This window comes from Homo sapiens, chromosome 7, assembly GCF_000001405.40.
Source record: "Homo sapiens chromosome 7, GRCh38.p14 Primary Assembly".
NCBI lineage: Eukaryota > Metazoa > Chordata > Mammalia > Primates > Hominidae > Homo > Homo sapiens.
The window spans coordinates 25185508-25207512 of record NC_000007.14 but is presented as its reverse complement, the minus strand read 5'-3'; the positions used below and the strand labels follow the sequence as shown (position 1 = coordinate 25207512).

Below are 22005 nucleotides of genomic sequence, written 5' to 3'. Positions count from 1 at the left end.
CATAAATGCAAATATATGGTACGCCTCATTGTAAGTGCATATTTTACTATAAATATGTGTAAGAGTTGTGTCCATATGTATAGTATATATTAGTAAAGAGATATGTGTGTGACTAAAACACACACACACACACACAGGGCCTAATGCACAAATTCTTTTACTGAGTGTATAATCAAAATATTTTAAACATCTCTTTGCCCACATCAATAAATTTCTATCAATCTTGCTTTCTGGGCGTCAAAATCTATGATATGCCTCTTTAGATTAAGTAGATTTTTATAAAACCTCTCCACCTATTCTGCCAAAAACTACTCCCATCTTCAGCATATTCCACTGAAATGCGTATCACTTTGCCATCCACACTTCACATAGGTCCAGTTCATTTTTGATCAGCAAAGATTTCTTAAGCTCCTACTATGTATGCTACCCTGGGGCTTCATGTGCATAATAAAAACCTTGGTGTTCATAACCCCTTATCTTAACCCAGACACTTCCTTCTAGTAATTCCAAGTCTTTAGATAAACTCTTTCAAGCAACTGCCAATCAATAAATACCACTCCCTGGAGTTGTCCCGCCTTTCTAGACCAAACCAGTGTACGTCTTGCATGTACTGATTGATGTATTATGTCTCCCTAAAACATATAAAACCAAACTGTAGCCTAACCACTTTAGGCTCGCATTCTCAGGACCTTCTGTGTCACAGGCATGCCATTAACCTTGGCAAAATAAACTTCTAAATTGATTGAGACCTGTCTCGAAAACGTTTTGGTTTATAGCTTCAATGCTGGCAAACTGACCATATTCAGTACCTCCCTATCATTTTTCTATCTTGACATTTGATTCCATGATTATTACATGTAAAGTGATTATGCTTGAATTTTCATCAATTATAAAATATATTGCCCATTCTCCTGTCTGCTTTTTTTTTCTCTTCCTTCTCTATTCACTTTGTCACATAAATGGACTGATCCTGCAAAAAGATGTACATGGCTAATATTGTGAGATATTAATTTATATATTTAGCCCTCCCAGTATTTCTCCTTTGCTCTTTCTTATGCTGCATGCCTCAGGGGAGGTTTGTGGTAAGGTGGAAAGTGAAGAACCAACTTTCTAGCCCTGTTTCCTAAACTATATGCCTCAGAGCAAGGATAGCATTTTTTTTAAGAAGAAGCAGCAGAATGTCTGAAAAGAGGAGAATGGAGCAAAGCATTCGTTCAAGCTGAGAGGAGCAGAAAGAAACTCTTGTGGATCCTGAAGCAGTGGGAACCAGGGAACTGGAGTGAGGCCACAGCCAGTTGGGTTTCCCATGCATCATGGAGTGAAGACATACAAATATAGAAAATTGACATCACGGTGAAAATTGCCAACTTGACTACCAGAATGGTGCTTCTGGTCACTGCACAACACCCTCCACAATCTCCATGAAATCCTGATGAGGGAGGATATACCCAAGAGTAACTGATGTAAAATCCTCCCACACCCTGCAGGCTGATCGCTCAGAAACAAAATTAAATTTATATATAAAAAACAGATACAGTTTGTTTTTGAGCTCCTGAATTTTGTATCCTAAAAGATATACCACCTACAATGGAAATAACTGAGTTGCTCTGGATATAGAAAGTCAAGATTGTGTCTTAGTGCTATTATTTTCCTCCATGGCATAGGAGACAATGTGGATAGTCCTGATGTGGAATTAAGCAATGAATAATGATGCTTGCATTTTCCATATCAGGGAATCGAAAATTATTTCCTTCTTACTTTACCCATGACCTGCATCGGATAAGATGCTTTTGTTATAGCTTTCCATTTTAGTCAGATTTGCTGACAATAATGTTGATAATTTGCCTAGCTACTCTTAAATTTGCCATTTTCCTCATTGGAGCACCTATTCGCCAAAGGCTGTTAGCGTAATAATTAGTGGCCCGTTCTTGACCCTGATGTGGCCATTCATTTATCTTTTAGAATAGTTTAAATGTTTTGAGATAAATGGTTTTCTTTTCCTTTTCTGACATCTGATCTTTATCTTTCTTCCAAGGAATTGCCTTTCCAAAAAGACAAATCACGCTAACATACATCAGAAGAATAGCACTTTTTGGTTGTTATTGTTTTGCTTTCTTTTATTTTGGACATCAGGTGCTTGCAGACAGTTGGGTTACTTGTACTCCTGAATTCAGGGCTTGCTATCATGCCCCTCTCATTTTATTTTATTTCTTTTATCACTGACTACCACTTCCATTCCCTCTTTCCCCCATAGGCTCTAAATGGATTCAATATAAGTCTTCAAATATGCATGCATCCTCTATCTGTGTGTGTTTAATTCAACTCAGTGATAAAGTGCCTTAGATCTCATTCTGTTTCTTACTGTTTCGGTCAACATTGTTTTCTATCTATCCATGGTGCAATATGCACAGTTAGGAAAACAGAAAACAAACTAGGCATTTCAGCAGAGAGAATTTAATACAGAAAATTGGTTATACAGATGTTAGAGGCCTGAGAGAAAAACAAAAAGAGGATATAGGAAACCAAAAATAATATTGACAGTAAGCAGGTAACACCCATACAGCTGGGGAAGCAGAGGAAAAACTAGAAATTAGCGAATCCTAGAAGCTCAGAGAAGATGCACGGAGCTTGGATTCAGACCTCTTGGGGTGGAGGGCCTCAAACATAGAGTAAGACTCCAGGAGCCCGAGAAGAGAACAGCTGCCGGGGTGCAAGCGCTAAGCAGAGATTCTGGACACTTAACGGTGCTGAGGTGACAGTGGAGTTCAGGCCCAGCCAGAGGGACTTTGAGGAATATCCTGACCCTTTAGTTGAGATCCTTTTGTAAAACGCCATGTCCTGGAAGTGGGGGCAAAACTGAAAAAACCTACCCTAAAGCCTAACACGAAGCCTCAACAGAATCAAAGCAATGTGCTGGTGATTTAACTGCTGCCAAAACAAAACTCAACACTTTTTAGAGGATCATAGCATAATCCAAAGCTTCTACAGTCTATGTCAATAATATTTGCAGTACAATTTTAAAAAACTTCTAGATATGCAAAGAAGAAAAACGTGTCTGATAAGAAATAAAGCGGTCAATGAAGCAGACCCAGGAACAATCTATATATCAGGTCTTAAAATAACTGTGATTAATAGCTTTTAAATACATTAGACTCCTAGTTCCAGCTCTGACGTGTGAAGAGCATAAAAGGTGTCATTCCTGTTCTTACAATAAAGGGGGAAAAAAGCTGAAAAAATGGAAAATCGATGACTGTTCTTGGACTCATTAGACAACTGAGTCGACAGAGAAAACCACCATCCTGAAATCTAAAGAGACATTTGAATACAAACACACACACAGACACACACACACACACATGCACACACACACAACTAAGTTTATGTTTACCTGGAGCAGAAGCCACTGAGCCACTGGAGCTATAAACTGGTAGTAACACACAAGTAGTAATTTTGACAAACTGTTGAGAGCTGAGTGTAGATTAGCATAAGAGTGAAAAATTCCTGGGGGCTACAGTCTGAGACATAACCTTTCATAGATTTTACTTCCTCAAACCCAACTGAGTTCTTATGGTCAACAGTCAAGAAAGATCCCCTTGTGGCTCTAGTAGGAGAAGGGGAATTATAACCATTTATAACCATATGCCCAGATCCTTGCCTAGCATTACTGTCTCACCTACTCAGGAGAGGAGAGTGATGGCTAAGTAATACTCGTGAAGGACATTGTCCAGGAACACAGGCCTACTATGAAAATGAAATTTAATTATAATATTATAGATAACTTCCCCTCCCCTACACCTTACCACCATATCAACAGCCTCCAGTATAATAACAATGAATTATATCTGAAAGAACTGCAATGTGCAGATTCTATTTAAGAAGGCATTCTGGCCGGTTATGGTGGCTCACACCTGTAATCCCAGCACTTTGTGAGGCTGAGGCGGTCAGATCACTTTAGCCCAGGAGTTCAAGACCAGCCTGGGCAATATAACGAAACCCCATCTCCATTAAAAGTACAAAAATTGGGCAGTCATGGTGGCATATGCCTGTAGTCCCAGCTAGTGGGGAGGCTGAGGTGGTAAGATCCCTTGAGCCCAGGAGGTTGAGGCTGCAGTGAGCTGAGATTGCACCACTGCACTCCAGCCTTGGTGACAGAGCGAGATGCTGTCAAAAAAAAAAGAGGGAGTTCTTAGAGAAGCCCAAAGACCACAGAGGAGAAATCATGGACACTGGAGTAATTTGAAGCCTCTGGCACCTACAGCTACAGAAGCATTAAATACAACCCAACTATTAGCCAGATCAACATAAAACTTCACAATAAAGACCTAGTTAACCTCAATTCTTATTATCCAACCTAACATAGCTAACTTTAAACAAAAAATTACAAGACATGTCAAAAGAAAGAAAAAAAACACAGTCTGAAAAGACAAAACAAGCACCAGAACCAGACTCAGATATGACACAGACTCTGGAATTACCATATAGGGAATTTTAAATAACAATGATTAATATGTCAAGGGCTCTAATGAAAAAAGTAGACAACATGAAAAGCAGATGTAAGCAGAGATGTAATTTAATGTAGGCAGAGAGAGAGAGAAACTCTAAGAAAGAAACAAAAAAGAAATGCTAGCAAAAAAAAAAAAAAAGCACTGTAACAGAAATGAAGAATGACCTTGATGGGCTCACTAGTACACTGGAGATGAATAAGGAACAACCAGTGAGTTTGAAGACAGGTCAACAAAAACTTCCCAAACTGAAATGCAAAGAGAAAAAAGAATAGGAAAATAAAAAAAAAAAAAAACAGAATAGGACATCCAAAAACATGGGATAATTTCAAAAGGTGAAATATATGCATAATTGAATAACAGAAGAAAAAAGAGAGAATGGAGCAGAAGAAATATTTGAAATAATCATAGTCAAGAACTTTCCAAAATGAACGATAGACACCAAACCACAGATCCAGGAAGTTCAGAGAACATCAAGCAGTACCCAAAAAGTCTACATCTAGGCATCGCATACTCAAACTGCCAAAAACCAAACACTTGAAAACAGCCAGGGGAAGACAAATAAATTTTTAATGGGCAGAACAAATAAAAACATGGAGTATTTTAAAACATAATTTAAATCTATAAAAAAAATCAAATGATAAACTGCAAAATATGAAATCTGAAATTTAAAATCCTTTGGATGCCGCTTAACAGCCAACTAAACTCAGCAGAAGACAGCATGAGTAAACTTCAAGCAGATCAATAGACAGTATTGAAACAAGAGCAGAGATGAAAAATAATGAAAATAGAACAGAGCAGAAGAGAAATGTGAGACACAGTCAGAAGATCTCCAAAGGGTAGGAGAGAATTTGATAAAGCCAGTACTTAAAGAAATCCTGGCTGAGAATAATCCAAAACTGATTAACTACATCAATCTAGAGAGTCAAGAAGTTCGAAGAACACTAAGCAGGAAAAATAAAAACAGACCTACACCTATGCACATTATAATCAAAGTGGAGAAAAACAAAGTTAGAGAGAAAATCGTAAAAGTAGACTGGGCGTGGTGGCTCACGCCTATAATCCCAGCACTTTGGGAGGCTGAGGCAGGTGGATCACCTGAGGTCAGGAGTTCAAGAGCAGCCTGGCCAACATGGCGAAACCCTGTCTCTACTGAAAACACAAAAATTAGCTAGGCATGGTGGTGTGCTCCTGTAATCCCAGCTACTCTGGAGGCTGAGACAGGAGAATTGCTTGAACCGGGGAGGCAGGGGTTGCAGTGAGCCAAGATCGCACCATTACACTCCAGCATGGGTCACAGAGTGAGACTCTGTTAAAAATTACATGTTATCTTCAGTGGGAAAATGCAAATTACAGTTAACTTCTCAATAGAAACAATGGAAGCCAGAAGACAATGAAGAGACACCTTAATGTTTAGAAACAGTCAACCTATACAGTGAAAACTTCTTTCAAAAATGAAGGCAGGCTCAACGCCTGTAATCCTAGCACTTTGGGAGGCGAAGGCTGGTGGATGGCTTGAGCCCAGGAGCTTGAGAGCAGCCTGGCCAACATAGTGAAACCCCATTTCTACAAAAAACACAAAAATTAGCCAGGCATGGCAGCACACACCTGTAGTCCCAGCTATTCAGGAGGCTGAGGTGGGAGAATCACATGAGCCTGGAAGGTCGAGGTTGCAGTGATTCCAGACTGTGCCACTGCATTCCAGCCTGAGCGTTGAAGTGAGACCCTATCTCAGTAAAAGAAGGAGAGAAGAAAGAAGAGGAGGAGGAGGAGGAGGAGGAAAGAGGAAAGAAGAGGAAGGAGAAGAAGAAGAAAGTGGCAAAGTAAATAAGTTGTCAGACATTCTCAGACAAACAAAGGCTTAAAGAGCTCTTCACCATTGTGCTTACTCTACAAGGAATACTAAATTCTTCAGGCTAAAAGATCATGTTCCTAGATGGAAACATGGAAATGCAAGAGGCAGTACATGCCAGAAAAGGAAAGTATGTGGGTAAATCTAAAATTATTGATCATTTAGAGAAACAATAATAGCAATGTCATGTGAGCTGTGTAACAGAAGTCAAATCAATGACAACAATAGCAAACAAGGTGAGGTCGAAGGCAAATGGAATTAAACTTTTGTAAATTTTCTGCATTGTTCAGTATGCAGGAAAAGCACTAATTACTAATGTACACAAACTGTAATAAAGATATGTTTTGTAATTTATTTTGCACCCACTAACAAAATGACACTAAAAGATACAATAAAAAGGTTAATGGAGGAGATAAATTGAATAACACAATCTTGATTAATACAAACGGCAGCAAAATAGGCATAAAGGAATACAAAAGAGATGAGATAGAAAACTAAGAGCAAGATAATAGACCTAAAAGTATCACTTTGGCTTCTGAGTGGAATACAGGCTGTAGATGGCAAGAAAGGAAGCAAGGAGACTAGTTAGAAGACTTTAAAAATAACACAGAATAGATAATGGAAGTTGGATCAGGTTGGCACTTCAGAGGTTGTGCAAAGTGGCCAGATTCTGAGTGTATTTTGAAGGTAGAATTAATAGGACATGCTATAAATTGGATGAGGGATATGAGAAAAAGAGAGGTGCTGAAGATAACTCCAAAGTTTTCTACTTGAATAACTAAAAAGATAGAATGTGAATCTGAAAGAAATTTAACAGAATGGTCAAGAATAGAATCTATCCATGAGTGTGAACCAAATGGTACTATTATGCTGTGGGCTATTATTTTGAAAGAACTCAAAGCTTTGTAAAACACAAAAACATATCAAAGACATTTGAAATTGATATAATTTTTTAACATTTTATAATATTAATAAATAAACCAAACTACAAAAAATAAAAATAAAAAAAGGAATTTCCAGCATTCCCTATTCCCAAGACTCAACAAGAGCTGACTTGCTCAATCCAATGGCAAATACTCAATGCAATGGATTTATTAAGCACCTACAGACGTGTTTCCAGAGTTACTTACCTCATTGGCATTAACTGCAAAGATAAAACATCCAACCAATTGTTCTTTTGGTGGACATTTAAGTGCCTGTTAGGTACCAAGCACTAATCATAGGCATTTGAAACCCGAAATGAATAGAAAAACACAGTTCCTGCTTTCTAGGTACTCCTGGATAAACTCCATATAAACTGGCCTGCAGCCAGGAGTGGTGGCTCACACCTGTAATCCCAGTATTGTGGGAGGCCGAGGTGGGCGGATCACCTGAGGTCAGGAGCTTGAGACCAGCCTGGCTAACATGGTGAAACCCCATCTCTACTAAAAATACAAAAATTAGCGGGGCGTGATGGTGAGCGCCTGTAATCCCAGCTACTCAGGAGGCTGAGGCAGAAGAATCACTTGGACCCAGGAGGCAGAGTTGCAGTGAGCTGAGAACACATCACTGCACTGTAGTCTGGAAGACAGAGCAAGACTCCAACTCAAATAAATAAATAAATAAACAGACCTGCTCATGTCACAAGGGGGAAGACAAGAGAGAATATTTAACTTTCCAAAGACAGGAAAGGAAAATCAGGATAGCAGAGTGGACAAGAGCACAGCTTTGATGCCCAGACAAACCTGGACCATTTTTCTCACATGTCACATGGTAATAATATCTATCTCACAGGTGTGTTATAGAATTTAAAACTACATACACTTACACACATTTACAGACATATAATTGTATCACAGCACCAGGCACATAATATACATTAAATAAATTATCATTATTATTATGGTGTGTGAGTTATCTGTTTATTGGCTCTCAGGTCCAAATCAACTCTTCTTCACCCTGCTTTGTGAGACTCTGCAAACGTTTCTCCTGTCTTTTAAGCTTCACCAAAAGACAGCACTGGAGTGACCTTAAAAGGCAAAGATAACAGGAAGACACCTCAGTTTCAGGTTCTTGTCTTCTGATGTTTTTATTATTACTATTATTATTATTATTATTCAGCATGGGAGTCCAGTGGCCTCATGTTCAGTTCCAGCTCTGCCCTCAGGCCACTCCCTCCACCAGCAGCCACATCCACCAGCAATGGCAGGCCACATCTACAGACCAGTTCTGCTCAGCTCACACCCTCCAACAAGAGCGGACTACTTCTAGGGACTACCGCCGCCTGCACCCTGGCAAGTTTCTTCTCCATCTGAAGGCTTGGAAGCCATGCTGTCTTCCAAGAAGTTTGCATCTCAGCCTTCGTTGAGGCAGGGAGACCCTTCTGGTCCTAAGTTTCTTTATTGTTTACTCTACCTCAGCCTACAAGTTATAGCTTCTTAAAGTCCTCTTTGGTCCCTCTGAGTAGTTAAGCACTTTCCTCTAGTAAACAAGCTTTTACTTATTAAATTTGTCCCGTTCAAATAATGGGTGTGGTTTCTGTCTCCTTGCTGAACACAGACTGATACATAAGGTTTACCAAAGAGAATGAAACTTGGTATGAATGAATAGCAGGTGGAAAGGTATGCAGACAAGAAAAAGGCTGTCAGGAAATTGCAAGTAGGTAGTTCAATAGAACTGGAGAGTGGGCTGTGGGTGGGACAGGGCTGATGAAGACAGATCTGATTCTGAAGGAATTTTTTTAAGTTATGAATTCTGCTTTCATTCTGTAAACAGGGATCCATGGTGGATTTCAAGCAAGATTCATGACAGATTCGCATTTTAGAAAAATCTCCCTGGTGGCAGTGTAAGAATAACAGGATGAGTATAAAACTTAGAGGTAGGCAGAGCAGTAAAAGAATACTGACTGACATTTCTAGAACTCACGAACACCTCCAATTGCCTCTATTCCCAGGACACAGGAACATTACACTTCCCAGCTTGTTAATTTTATGCATGGCCCCCTAATTTCCTTTGGCTGCTGAATTATGAAGAAACTGATGTGAATTACTTATGAGTCAAAGCGGTTAAGAACCGATGCTTAATAACCCATGCTCCCTTCTTCTGCTGATACAAACCCTGAAGCCTCATATTGAGAAGACAGAGTTAGGAGACAGTGGACTCCCCACCAACCTGGGCCCTGAATGACACAATATGACAATACACAGCCCCTTGCTGTCTTGGTTTAAAGAGAACAAGGGGAGACAACCCACTGGGATTTTAGGCCACTTAGATTTGGGACTACATGTTCCTGCAGCATGAACTTGTCTATCCTGACTCCATGCAGAGACTTTCTTCTCTCTCTTTTCAGCCAGAATGATAGTTAAACATGGAGTTTGTGACATAGATGACAAACTCTTGGATGAATACACTGAAGTGTCCCTGAGGTTAATACAGAGTTCTGTGTCTCTCAGTCTGGAAACCAGTCTTGAAAGAGTAAACACCAACTGCCTGGCACTTCACAGCCTCGGTTCAACCATGGTTGTCATCATTTGCCATCACATCAATTCACACAAAGATCAAATACTGGTGATCCACAACAGCTTAAAATCATCCTTTATATGTATACATATACATATGTATGTTTTTTCTATACATTATTGTTATTAGGAGAAGAATTTTACAGACAGCTTTAACTTCAAGAGAGCAAAAAAATTATCCAAGCTGAGTATTGTCAAAAGAATTTCCCCCATAGCTCTCAAACACTGTCCTCAGATCACTGCTATTCAAATTGTGGTCTCTGTCCAGTAATAAATACAGATCCATGACAAGATAAGTAAAGAAATTGAGCTGACTTGGTGGCCGGGCACGGTAGCTCACACTTACAATCCCAGCACTTTGGGAGGCCGAGGCAGGGGGATCACTTGAGGCCAGGAGTTCAAAACCAGCCTGGTCAACATGGGGAAACCCTGTCTCTACTAAAAATACAAAAATTAGCCAGGTGTGGTGGCTCAGGAGGCTGAGGCAGGAGAATCACTTGAACCCGGGAGAAGGAGGTTACAGTGATGCAGTGAGCAGAGGTCATGCCATTACACTCCAGCCTAGGCGACAAGCGCAAAACTCTGTCACCAAAAAAAAAATAAAAAACTATTGGCCATCATCTCTTCAAACTGTTTATGTTGTCCCACAGCTTTGGTGCCCTATTTTTTTGTTTTGTTTTGTTTTCACTCTTTTCTTTGTGTCTCAGTTTAGGTTATTTGTTTATTTATTGTTTTGAGACAGGGTCTCACTCGGTCACAGTTTAGGTAATTTCAATCAACTTTCACGTTCACTGCTTTGTTCTTCAGTTGTGTTTGACAGAGCAGGAGCACCATCATCTCAGACAAACACCGTCACTTTAAATCCCAGCTCCCTTTCTAGCCTCATGCATTTCAAGGAAATCATTTCTCTTCTAACTACAATCAGCCAGAAAGAGCAAACAGTAAAACACAGATAACACAGCCCCGGCACAGAGGAAAGTAGGGGAAAGTCTCTTGGGTAACTGCCAAACTTCACTCTCATACAATAGGCCCAGTAAAACAGTGGGCCTTAATAAGCACATTCCTTTCCCTTCGGGTGCACTAAGATAGGGAAGCTAAATGCAAACTCAGGGGGTATGCCTGCAGCTGCAAAAAAAAAAAAAAAAAAAAAAAAGTGTGGAAACAAACACACAACTCTCCCTCCCAAATAAACACAACAAAAAAACACAAAAGTGTCCAAGCCTCCAACAAACTCTCTTACCCTAAATCCTTAAACACTCTTAGTCTGTAAAAAAATGTGCCTCTACCCTAACTCAGCCAAAAGCCCCTCTCAGGTTCGTTTTCTCTAAAATAAACCTGTCCTTAACTGCCAAGCCACCTTTTGTGTTTCTTTCCTCTTTCTTTAATTCTTACAGGGTTGAGTCTACTGATAGTCCTGTCAAATGCATACTTCATCTCTGCTACCATCACTTTTTTTTCTTCTGGCATTCCCATTAGACTCTTCCTTACAGCTTCCATCTCTCTGTTGACATTCCCCATCTAGTCATGCATGTGGTCCACCTGAGTCTGTTTCTGTTGATTGATTTTTCCCCTGACAGTGGGTTGTTTTCAGTTGCTCTTGTGTGTCCTGTGATCTTTGATTGAATGTTTGACATGTGTAAGACAGTAGAGACTGAAGCAAGAAGTATTTATGCCCGGAAATGGGCATGCCTTTCCTTCTACTACCTGCTGGTATGAGGGGTTGAGTTGATCTAGTGATGAGTTCAACTGGGTCTGGGTTTTGCTGTTGCCATTTTAGTTCAATGCACCACTGGCTTCAAATCCCCCTAGTGCTACTGCGTCCCTGGGTAAGGGCTGGGCTCACAATATTCATGCTCCACCCTCAGATTTACACCTTCCCCGTGTGCCCATCCACATTTTTTGGCTGTCCCTTGCTGTAGACTGCTATTACTTGTTACTTGGTGCTTGTTGACCTGGTGTGGGGTCAGGGCCACTGTCTGTCGTTTTGTTCCAGACTCAGTGTGAGGCAGGCCCAGTGTTCCAGGGCCCAGAGAATGAGGCTTTTTTATCCATCCTTTCTTCCCCAGGACAAGGGGCACTCTAATGGACTGGGACAATTTCCTGCCTGCAATTGCCATGAGCATTTTTCTTTTCCTTCCCAATATGAACTCCAAATATCTGAGACAGGTCTCAGTTAATTTAGAAAGTTTATTTTGCCAAGGTTGCAGACAAGCACCCATGACACAGCCTCAGGAGGTTCTGATGACAGGTGCCCAAGGTGGTAGGGACACCCCTTGGTTTTACACATTTTAGGGAGACTTGAGACATCAGTCAATATGTGTAAGAGGTACATTGGTTCAGTCTGGAAAGGTGGGTCAATTCAAGGTGAAGATGGGACAACTCGAAGCAGGGAGGGGCCTTCCAGGTCATAGGTATATAAGAGACAAATGGTTGCATTCTTTTGAGTTTATGGTTAGCCTCTCCAAAGAAGGCAATCAGATATGCATTCATGTCAGTGAGCAGAGGGGTGACTTTGAACAGAATGGGAGGCAGGTTTGCCCTAAGCAGTTCCCAGCTTGACTTTTCCTTTTAGCTTAGTGATTCTGGGGCACCAAGATTTATTTTCCTTTCACACCACCAACCTCAGTGGGATTTTCCTGCAGCCTGAGGTCAGCAGGGTTTTCTGCCCTTTCCCCAAAAGGTATGGCTTTTGTTTGTTCCGGAAGAAGAGTCTGGAAGAGCTTTGTGCATTTCCTGCAGTGGCAGCTGCTCCCCTGCCCCAAGCTGGCACTGTTGTGGGAGGCTCTATCTGGTCTCCCACTCTGTGCCCAATACATTCATGTGTGAGTGGGGCTCAGTGGCCTTCTATAGAGAAGCACCTGCAAGAGAGTGTGAACTCTGCTTGTCCAAAGATCCCAGGAGGTCCACACTTTCATGCTGACTCAAACACAGCCTTCAGTGATTCTTTAAAGGCATCGACTGAGCCAGTCTTCCCCACCTGTGTGGCAGGGCTGTCTCCTTCTCACGCTTGGCCACAGACAGCCATGTTCACACCTCCTCTTCTCAGAGGCTCCTGCCTTCCTTCAACCTCAGGCTGAATGTTTGCCCTGTGACTTCAGCTTCTGATGGGTTCAGGGAAAGGTATGATCTTGTAGATTATCTGTTGTTTTACTGTTACCAGAGGAGTGAGACCCATTCTGATTTTCTACTTCCTAGTCGGCAACTGGAAGCCAGAGCAATGTTTGCAAACATCAGTCAGATCACCTCCTCATTGCTGAAAACCATGCTGAACACAGTCAGAATGAAATCTCCATTTGGTGCGGGGGGCTTTCAAGCTCCACACGGCCTGGCCCTGGTGTCCTCTCAACCTCAGCCCTCCTGACTCTCCAGGACCCACTGTCCCAGGCCATATGAAGCTCATTCTCAGAGAAGTCCTCCACTTCTCATTCCTGCCCTGAGGGCTTTGCCTGGCTTTTCCCTCTGCCAGGAATGCTATTTCCTCCATTCTCACTCAGGTCAGAGGGAATGTTCCTTATCCTGCAATCCTCAGTTCAAAGTTTACCCTCTCTGAGAGCCCTCCCCTCTTTCCAAGGTTTCCCCCTCCCAGATCCCATAAAAGTTCAAACATCTTACCATATTACATATGATTTTGGAAGCTTCTCAAAATTTATTTTTGGAATAAAGGAGATGGATGAAGATGAGATTTCTCCCAGCCATATTTATTTGGTCCTCAATATTTTGCTCAAATTACCCAGGTTGGTAGTTCTCAACCTTAGCTGAGACAACGGCATCCACCTGCCAAGGGTGAAGGCCCACGATAGGCTGTTCTGGGCACCTGGAGGCAGAAGGGGTCAGGGACCAGACGTCTTTATAGGTTCAGCCTCCTGGGATCATTCAGGGACCACAAAGATATCCAGTTTTCTGTAGGAAGCAAGACATCTGGTGACTGCTCTATTCTACTTCAATCCTCACTCACTCTCACCAGTGAAGCTGCCTTAGGAACAACACCAGCCAAGCAAAGAGGGTGTTTGGTTTGGGGAAAAAATGATCTATTGACTCCAAAGCAGCCTCTGTGCTAGTGGAGACCCCATCTCAAGAGGAGGGATGGCAGACTCCACAATTCCCAGCTGTCAATACAGGAGGGGGCTTCGTTTTCCTGGGTCACTGAAAAAGAACAAGAGAACTCTGGGGCCTTGGTCCTGGAGAAGACCCAGGGGGACCATCCCTCCCAGAAACACTCTGGAAAAAGGTTGTGGAGTTGTTTTTATCTGTAAATGTCCATATCTGATAGTTCAGGATTTCTTGCTTTTTAGGGTTTCACTAAAGTTTTAGGTTACTAAGAATAAAAATTCCAGTTAACACATACTTCTGTATACAAAATATGCTAGAAAGGGTTATGTTATTAGTGAAAAAAAGAATAATTTTGTCTAATTCAGAAGTTATCTGAAAGTTAGCTTAAATTACAGATTTGAAAAGGTTATTTATGAAACAATGTAGTAAGGAATAATTAAGTAGGGGAGAAAGATGAAAAAAATTTAAATAATAAAATATTCTTTAAAACCTGATAGAGAAATGGAGACATTTGGCTAATTAACATTTTCATTGTTAAAGCCAAGTCTTGATTAAAGTAAAATAAGAAGTATTGTAAAGAAATGAATCAGCAGTTTGGCAATTCTTTTTTAAATATAGTTAAGTATGAAGCTGGGTTTAGTGTGGAGCCAAATTTCACATACATGCTTGCATTGCTTCACTCTGTTTACTGTTTTGCTTGGATAGTGCTAGAGTACTTACTGGTCATGTGCCTAAAGTGAATTTCTTAATTGCACAGAATTTATAATAATATTGATGAACTTAAGGATATTAAATTGTGTATCAGGAATAAAATATGTAATATGTGGGTTTTGGGGATCAGTAACACTGTAGCCTCCAAGGTATATTGAGTAGGAAAATTTAGGGTTGGTCTCCTGTTTTTTGTTTCTGCTTCTAGTTTTCATTCATTTGCTGTTTATTCTCCTCTAGCTTTGTGTGTATGTATATGTGTATGCATATATATAAAACCATGATTTTTTTTTTTTAGTTCCTAGTGGAAGGCTTTTACTTGGTTCTGTGAATACTTATTTTGTTTCCTATGCATTTCTAGCAAATCATTATTTGTTCCATTTATCTGGAATTTCTACACTGCCTTTGTTGGGCCACAGGAGTTAATGGAGCACACCAGCTTTCTATCCAAAACTAGTTTTTTGGATTCTAGGCTCCCTGATACTTTAAGTGTGTTGAGTATACTCTAATAAATAGAATTTGAGTCACATTTCTCTCTCTCTCTGCCTAATTTCTCCAAAATTTGTAAACTATTTGTGAATATTCCTAATTCATGGCAATGTGTTTGTTTGCATACAGTCAAGCGGGGTCAACTAGGGCCGGTCAGGGAGAGAGAACCCAGAAACGTGGCAAGCTGGCAAAAGGGTAAGAATTTCTTACCAGCCAGTCACTGGCCTCTTTCTCTCTGTACAAACTGGTTAAATAAATAGTAAAAGTCACTGTTTATCTCCTCTGTAAAGTTTTAATTGATACAAAAGAGCTTTAATTAATTGGTTTAATAATAATAAGAGCTTAAATCAAATATTTTGTCAAAAAAGTGAAAAATGTAATGCCTTTTATTTAGTTCATGTGACTTGTGTAATCTTTGGGAAATAAAGACAGTCTTAAAGATTATTGGTAAAATACAAATGTCTTCAAAATGTAAACATGTGGCCTAAGTTATGCTCAAATTTCAGGTTTGCTAAATGCTTTAAGGTCATAAACTGCTCCTTTAGCTTTTGAAAGTTGTTTAACTTGTCTGCTTTCCACCAGGTAAGGCCTGAGGACATGTGGAGGTGGCCGCACCCCTGGCTAATGCTGGAAATAGTCAAACCTTATCAGAACATAACTTACCAGGTTTTACATTAAAATTAAAATTGCTGAGAGTCACCATTATAACATGTAATTAAGACTACTAGAAACAGTTTTACATGCAAGGTGTGTAAGAACAGAAGAATTTTTTTTTGTAAAAGATTATAAAAGGTTTTCGCTTCTTTAAAATTTCTGAGTTATCATTTTGGCAAAATAAATAGTTTATGGTAATCTGGAATTCCAAAATCAAACTTCAGTTTTAAAATTTTCTTTCCTGATGCCTAGCTTTTTGAATTGATCAGAGGGCCCTTGAAAACATCTGGAAAAGAAGTAAACGAGATTATTTGACATGTTTAGGTATATGGGATTGCCAAAATGATGTTCAATCTTCTTTAGGTTATGTTTTTGTAAATAATACTAATATATATTCCAAAATTGTATGGGATTTCTAAAATTCTAATGTGTAAGTATATGCTATCAATTATAATTATGGTTATTATGTTAAGTTACTGTAAACCACAGAAATAACCAAATTTCCTTGTATAAAGCTACTAACCCAAGTAGAACAAAAAAAAATTAAATGCCAAGAAAAGTCAGATTCTCATGTTAAACCAGCTGATACTGAAATTGTTTAGATATACAATTTGAATAAACTTCACAGTCTAAGTCAAATTACCTTTGATAACTCATCAGTTGTCAGTGCTATGCACCTAATTTAGAAAAACTACTGGTATTCGAGAGGATATACATCTAATGTTAATAAGCATGGACTCATGGAGAACCAGGATGACCACCTTGTCCTTCTTGAGTCCTTAAAGTTTTTATTATTAAAAGTTCTGCATTCCATGACTCATCATGGAAAAGATAAAATAATCCAAAGTGAATACATTCATGTAGTAACTTACAAATTACTAAAATAGTTTATAACCAATGTTTGGCTCTATATTCATGGGAAAACAATTAAAGCTTCAGGTACATTTGGTCACCTGGTGGGCCATTTGAACATTTCGTAAAGGGATTTCACGCAACTGTTATTTTCAGTGCATGTTTTCTGATTGTATAAAAGCTTTCCTGGCCAGGCACGGTGGCTCATGCCTGTAATCCCAGCACTTTGGGAGGCTGAGGCAGGTGGATCGCCTGAGGTCAGGAGTTCGAGACCAGCCTGGCCAAAATGGCGAAATACTGCCTCTACTAAAAATACAAAAAGTTAGCCAGCCATAGTGGCGGGTGCCTGTAATCCCAGCTACTCAGAAGGATGAGGCAGGAGAATCACTTGAACCTAGGAGGCAGAGGTTGCAGTGAGCCGAGATCGTACCATTGCACTCCAGCCTGGGTGACACAGCAAGACTCTGTTTCCAAAAAAAGAAAAAAAAAGCTTTCCCATGCCAGAGGGCTGATGTTATCACAGCAGATTATTATGCTACAGTGTAGTTTCACCAGGTAAAGAAAACTTTTTATGGTTTGGATCTTCTGAGAACGTCAAAGAAAAACTGTCCTTGCCATCCACACTATTACAAAATTTCAGGACCTTGAACTTTGGGTTCATAATCTCACAACTGAGAAAGGTCCCTCATCACTCTTGGAACTCTACACCCATTGAAATCCTTAAGGTAAAACTAGCCAGGAAAGTTTCTCCCCAGAAGAAGATGGCATCTTGATGTGAACAGCTTTTTCCATGTTCACAGATTAAGACTTCTATTATCATGAAACTCTAATCTTTGAATATTTTTTCCTGCTTATGCTTCTATAAACAATAGAAGTGGTTAGGGGGTCAGTCTGTTATGTGCACTTGTGGGGTATACTTTTATTTGTGAAGAAGTTTACAGCCAGCCTTATACATGGATAAACTTATACTTTGATAGATAAAAGATGAAGACCCAATGTAGGTACAAAACTTTAATGGTACATACATTGCCTCGTAATCAGTTATGAACAAAACATTGGTTCATTCCTTTTAACCCACATCATGGGTTAAAAAGTACACTGCCAGGAGGTCTTCACTCTTCTAGAAGGGCATCATTTGTCAGGCCCTTTTTCCATGGTTTAAAGTAAAAAAAGCAATGATTAGAAATGTATCCCTCGTGATAGACTCTGTAGCAAATTATAAAGGTAAGGACACAGAAACTTTAAATTCTCTTGTGTAAGTTATGATAGAATTGGCAGAACAAGAAGTATCTGTGCCACTGCTGGCACTTGTGGCCTATGGAAAAATACATCAGGTGAAAATTATAGAAATTCAGTGGTAGGGGATTAACAAAGAGACTACTTGTTAAGTGAGTAGACTCTTTATCTAGCTCATTCTTTGCTCTATTTGATTTTAGGATGTTTGACTTATGGGGACCTTGGGTAAGGAGCAAACTGCAAACTCTTTGTTTTATCCTCCCAATAGTCATAAGAATAGTCTCCCTTGTGCACTGTATTGTCTCGAAGGTTTTAAATGCTTGCATGCAGCCGTCTCTAGAACATCACATGGTCTCCCTTCAACCAGAATGACAAGAGCTGAAAGAAATATGCAACCTTGAGGACACCGCAACCTATCAATGACGTGCTGAGACCAGAAACCCAAAATGATGGTAACTGAGAGTAGCGCGAAGGCCCTAAGTTTTGGTCACACTCTTACCTAAGTGAGAACCTGACCAAAAAGGGGGAATATTTTTAAACAAAATTCTGGGAGGCCATTGTTTTGTTCCTCCCACCCAGAGCACAACCGTCACCTGATCCATCTTCAGCACAGTTCCTGAAGCCTCCCGATCCATGTGGTCTATCCTGACCCCACAGGTGGGGCCTAGTGCATGAGCTTAGTCCAAAACAAGGCAAGAAGAATGGACACTGAGCTTTCCAGATGGAACCTCCCTTCTCCCAGCACCCAGGAGTTGAGATGGGCTCCTCCAACAGGAGGGAGCATCTGTGGCGCCGCATGGAGCAGCCTCTCCTAGCAGAGCCGCAGACAGCCAGGCAGGAAGCTGGTCAGTGGCAGGAGCTCTGCTGGGCGCCCTGCAGGGCAGACAGGAGCCCACCCTTGGCTCTCCGCCACAGGCCCCTGACACCTGCACCGCTGAGCACCACTTACTTGTTGTTATTGAGACTGTCCATGGGCTGCTGGGACTGTCCATTCATCCCGCTCTCTTTGCTATAACAAACAACAGCAGAATTCAGCATCATTTAAAATCATCAGACACAGAGACACAAGGCTCTCATGATACCAACACTTATCCGGGCCCGACCATGCAGACACTGCACTGGGGTGCACTTTATGTTTCAGGTAAATATCACCCCACGTTTTGTGAGGATACCGAGACAGAGCCCACCTGGGTCCCAGAGTCACCTGGCCTGGACCCTGGCCCTTCCAACTTGGGTCCTGAATGGGCCTGGTGATGGGAATTGGATCTGGGACAAATGTGACTTTGGTGTGTGACACAGAGATGGTGAAGGCACTCTTCCTCCCACATGTAAAGGGTTCATTTGAAAAGGGTAAGTCAAATCCATTCCACAACCTAGACAACTGCTTCCTCAAAAGGGGCAAAGATTGCTGCTCATTATTTCTCCACCAGCACCTCTCCTGGTGAGATGGGGGAGATGCGGGTGCTGGGAACAGGAAGTCCCACGCGTTATTGCCGTGTTTTCCCATGGCTGTGGTTGGCCGAAAACACAAGATCTTTGAGACCCTGACCTTAGCAACAGTACTGTCACCTCCCTCGGTATGTGACGTCGTGGTCAGGCTGACAACACAGAGCTCTGACTCTGGTGATCTTGTGTTATTCAAGAGGACATCTGTGTGCCACAAGATGGGTGGGACAGCCATGAGAAAGGACACCAGGAAGAGGCTGATAACTAACAAAAGGCAACATGCTTTTTACAGTGCTGGCACTGGGACGGTGGCCCTCTAAAAAATAACATCCTCCAAATCATAACATCCGCATCTCAACCCTCAGAACGTGAGACTGGGACCTCATTTGTGAAAACGGTATTTGCAGATGGAATCAAGGTAAGGATATCGAGATGAGACACTCCTGGAATGATCTGCCTAGGCCCCGAATCCAATGACCACTGTTTCTGACAGAGAAGCAGAGGGAAATTGGACACACACTCGGGGGAGCCGGCTGTGTGACCTGGAAGCCAGGGAAGGGACACGGCCACAGAAGGAACATATGGAAACACCAGCAGCTGGAGGCTGTGAGGAATGGAATCCCCCTAGACCCTTTGTAGGAAGTGGGGCCCTGCCAACCCCTTGATTTCAGATTCCCAACCTCTAGAACTGTGAGAAAATTAATTTCTGTGGTTCTAAGCTTCCAAGTTTTTGGTTGTTTGTCACAGTTCCATAGGAAACTCATATGTGTCTCACACATTAGTAAACAGCATGGTATTCTGGAGGCTTAAATTCCAAGGGCCCCACGATATTACATATTTGAAAAGGAAAATGCAATCTACAACTGCAAAAGCAACGATGTCTGTCTGTACTTCAACACCTGTTCCACCAATTAAAGCTCTGCCTTCTCGCTGTGATCCCACCTTGATGACTTTGCCAGTTTGAAAGTGGATTCAAAATTGTTAGAGAAACATTCAAAGCAAAAACAGTGTACCTGGAAAAAAAAACTCATTAAAATGTGTCTTATCTTAGGATTAGGATAAATAGGTTTTTGGAAGGTGGGGTTTATATTAATATCAACAGTCATCTTATCACAGGAGCTCCGAGCTGGGTTCCTGTCCTGATCACAGTCCCTCTGGACACAGAACAGGCCAACACCCCCGCCTACCTGGAGGCCATGAAAGGGGTCATGTCCAGCTCCAGGGCAAGGAACATGTACGTGGTGATTGTCCGCTGCAGCTTGGCTGAGTGTTCAAATCACTGCAGAAATAGGAAAAAGGCAGAGAGAAGAGGAAAGAAGACCAGAAATGTCACTGGAGGCTTCAGGGTCTTCCTCCGATAACATGTGCCTGTGTATCTCATTGTATTTTACTGAATTGCCTTTTAGCTACACATGGAATTACAGATTCAATAACACAATGGTAATCCATACAAGTCCTCATTTACAGGGTTCCAGTCAAGTCTTCAAATGATGGGATTGTTCCGTGTAACACCAAGGATACAAAAAGTAATCTCACAGCAAACACAGCAAAGCATAGACAACCAAACAAAGACCCATGACTCGTGGCAGAATAAATGAACAACTTGTTTCTTTCACCAGACAGAAGACAGTCTTTTGCCTAGATCGGGAGTCACGCATTCCAGCCAGTGAGCTAGGAATGGGTGCTTTCCACATTTAAAGAGTTGTAAAATGAAAGAAGAACATGCAACAGAGACTGTATGATCGCATGTGGCCCGTGGAGCCTGGCACCTTCACTATCTGGGCCTTTGGAGAAAGAGCTTGCCAACTCCTGTACTGGATCCTAATGCTGAGGGCCTTTGTTCTAAAGTAAAAGAACAACAGAAAACCTGAGGAGGGAGTAGCTGGAGGAATTTGGGTAGAAGTAATAAAAACACAACCACTCTCTCACAACCACTCCCCTCCCCTAGAAGAGTAGCTCACATCCTACTTTCACTGTGAGGCCACTGCTTTTGTTTACCACAGCACAGACAGAAGGACAATTCACTCACACCCTCTTGTTTCCTCTGTGTTCTTGCTGACTTGCCGCAATTATTAAAAATGTTGGCCAGGCGTGGTGGCTCACGCCTGTAATTCCAGCACTTTGGGAGGCCGAGGCAGGCAGGTCACCAGAAGTCAGGAGTTCAAGACCAGCCTGGCCAACATGGCAAACCCCGTCTCTAATAATACAAAAATTTGCCGGGTGTGGTGATGCACGTCTGCAATTCCAGCTACTCAGGAGGCTGAGGCAGAAAAATCGCTTGAACCCAGGAGGCAAAAGTTGCAGTGAGCCGGATTGTGCCACTGTACTCCAGCCTGGGTGACAGAGTGAGACTGTGTCTCAAAAAAAAAAAAAAAAAAAACAACTCTGCACACCAAACCAAGAGGCTGCAAGTTGTACTGTGGGCTAAAAACCGAGTCTGCCACTAGAGTTGGCTTTCTGGAAAGCCAACTATTTTGAGATAGGAACAGTCTACAATGGGCAGTTTCTTCATGGTGAGCTGATTCGTGAACTCCTGTTACTTATGGCAATCACTGTGCTTGATCTTGGCACTGCTACCCAAGTACTCTGGTCTGGTGAATCTACAAGGTGTTTTAAAAAGACAGAAGTGGTAAGGGAGATGTAAGAGACAGGAAAAAGAGAGGAAAGGGGTATTTTATCTCTTTCAATGGGTTGATTTTCCTACAAAAAACGCCCACAT

At 41.3% G+C, this 22005-nt stretch overlaps 2 long non-coding RNA genes across 2 annotated transcripts in view, besides 1 other annotated feature; both read right to left on the bottom strand.

Moving 5' to 3' along the window:
- LOC124901603 (uncharacterized) overlaps window positions 1-22005 on the bottom strand; it is a 61442-nt gene that overhangs the window by 7947 nt on the left and 31490 nt on the right. The window lies entirely within an intron of this gene.
- On the bottom strand, window positions 13534-20608 carry LOC105375191 (uncharacterized). Its single transcript, XR_927102.3, has 3 exons — window positions 20474-20608; window positions 18790-18849; window positions 13534-13751 (listed from the first exon to the last, which is right to left on the bottom strand). It is a non-coding gene; the product is annotated as an uncharacterized LOC105375191 (long non-coding RNA).
- Window positions 18678-19179: an enhancer, noted in NCBI's record as "H3K4me1 hESC enhancer chr7:25227953-25228454 (GRCh37/hg19 assembly coordinates)". NCBI's record gives its function as "activates a minimal SCP1, AML or CMV promoter by ChIP-STARR-seq in naive H9 embryonic stem cells {active_cell/tissue: H9 hESC(naive)}" and the evidence as "EXISTENCE:reporter gene assay evidence [ECO:0000049][PMID:30033119]".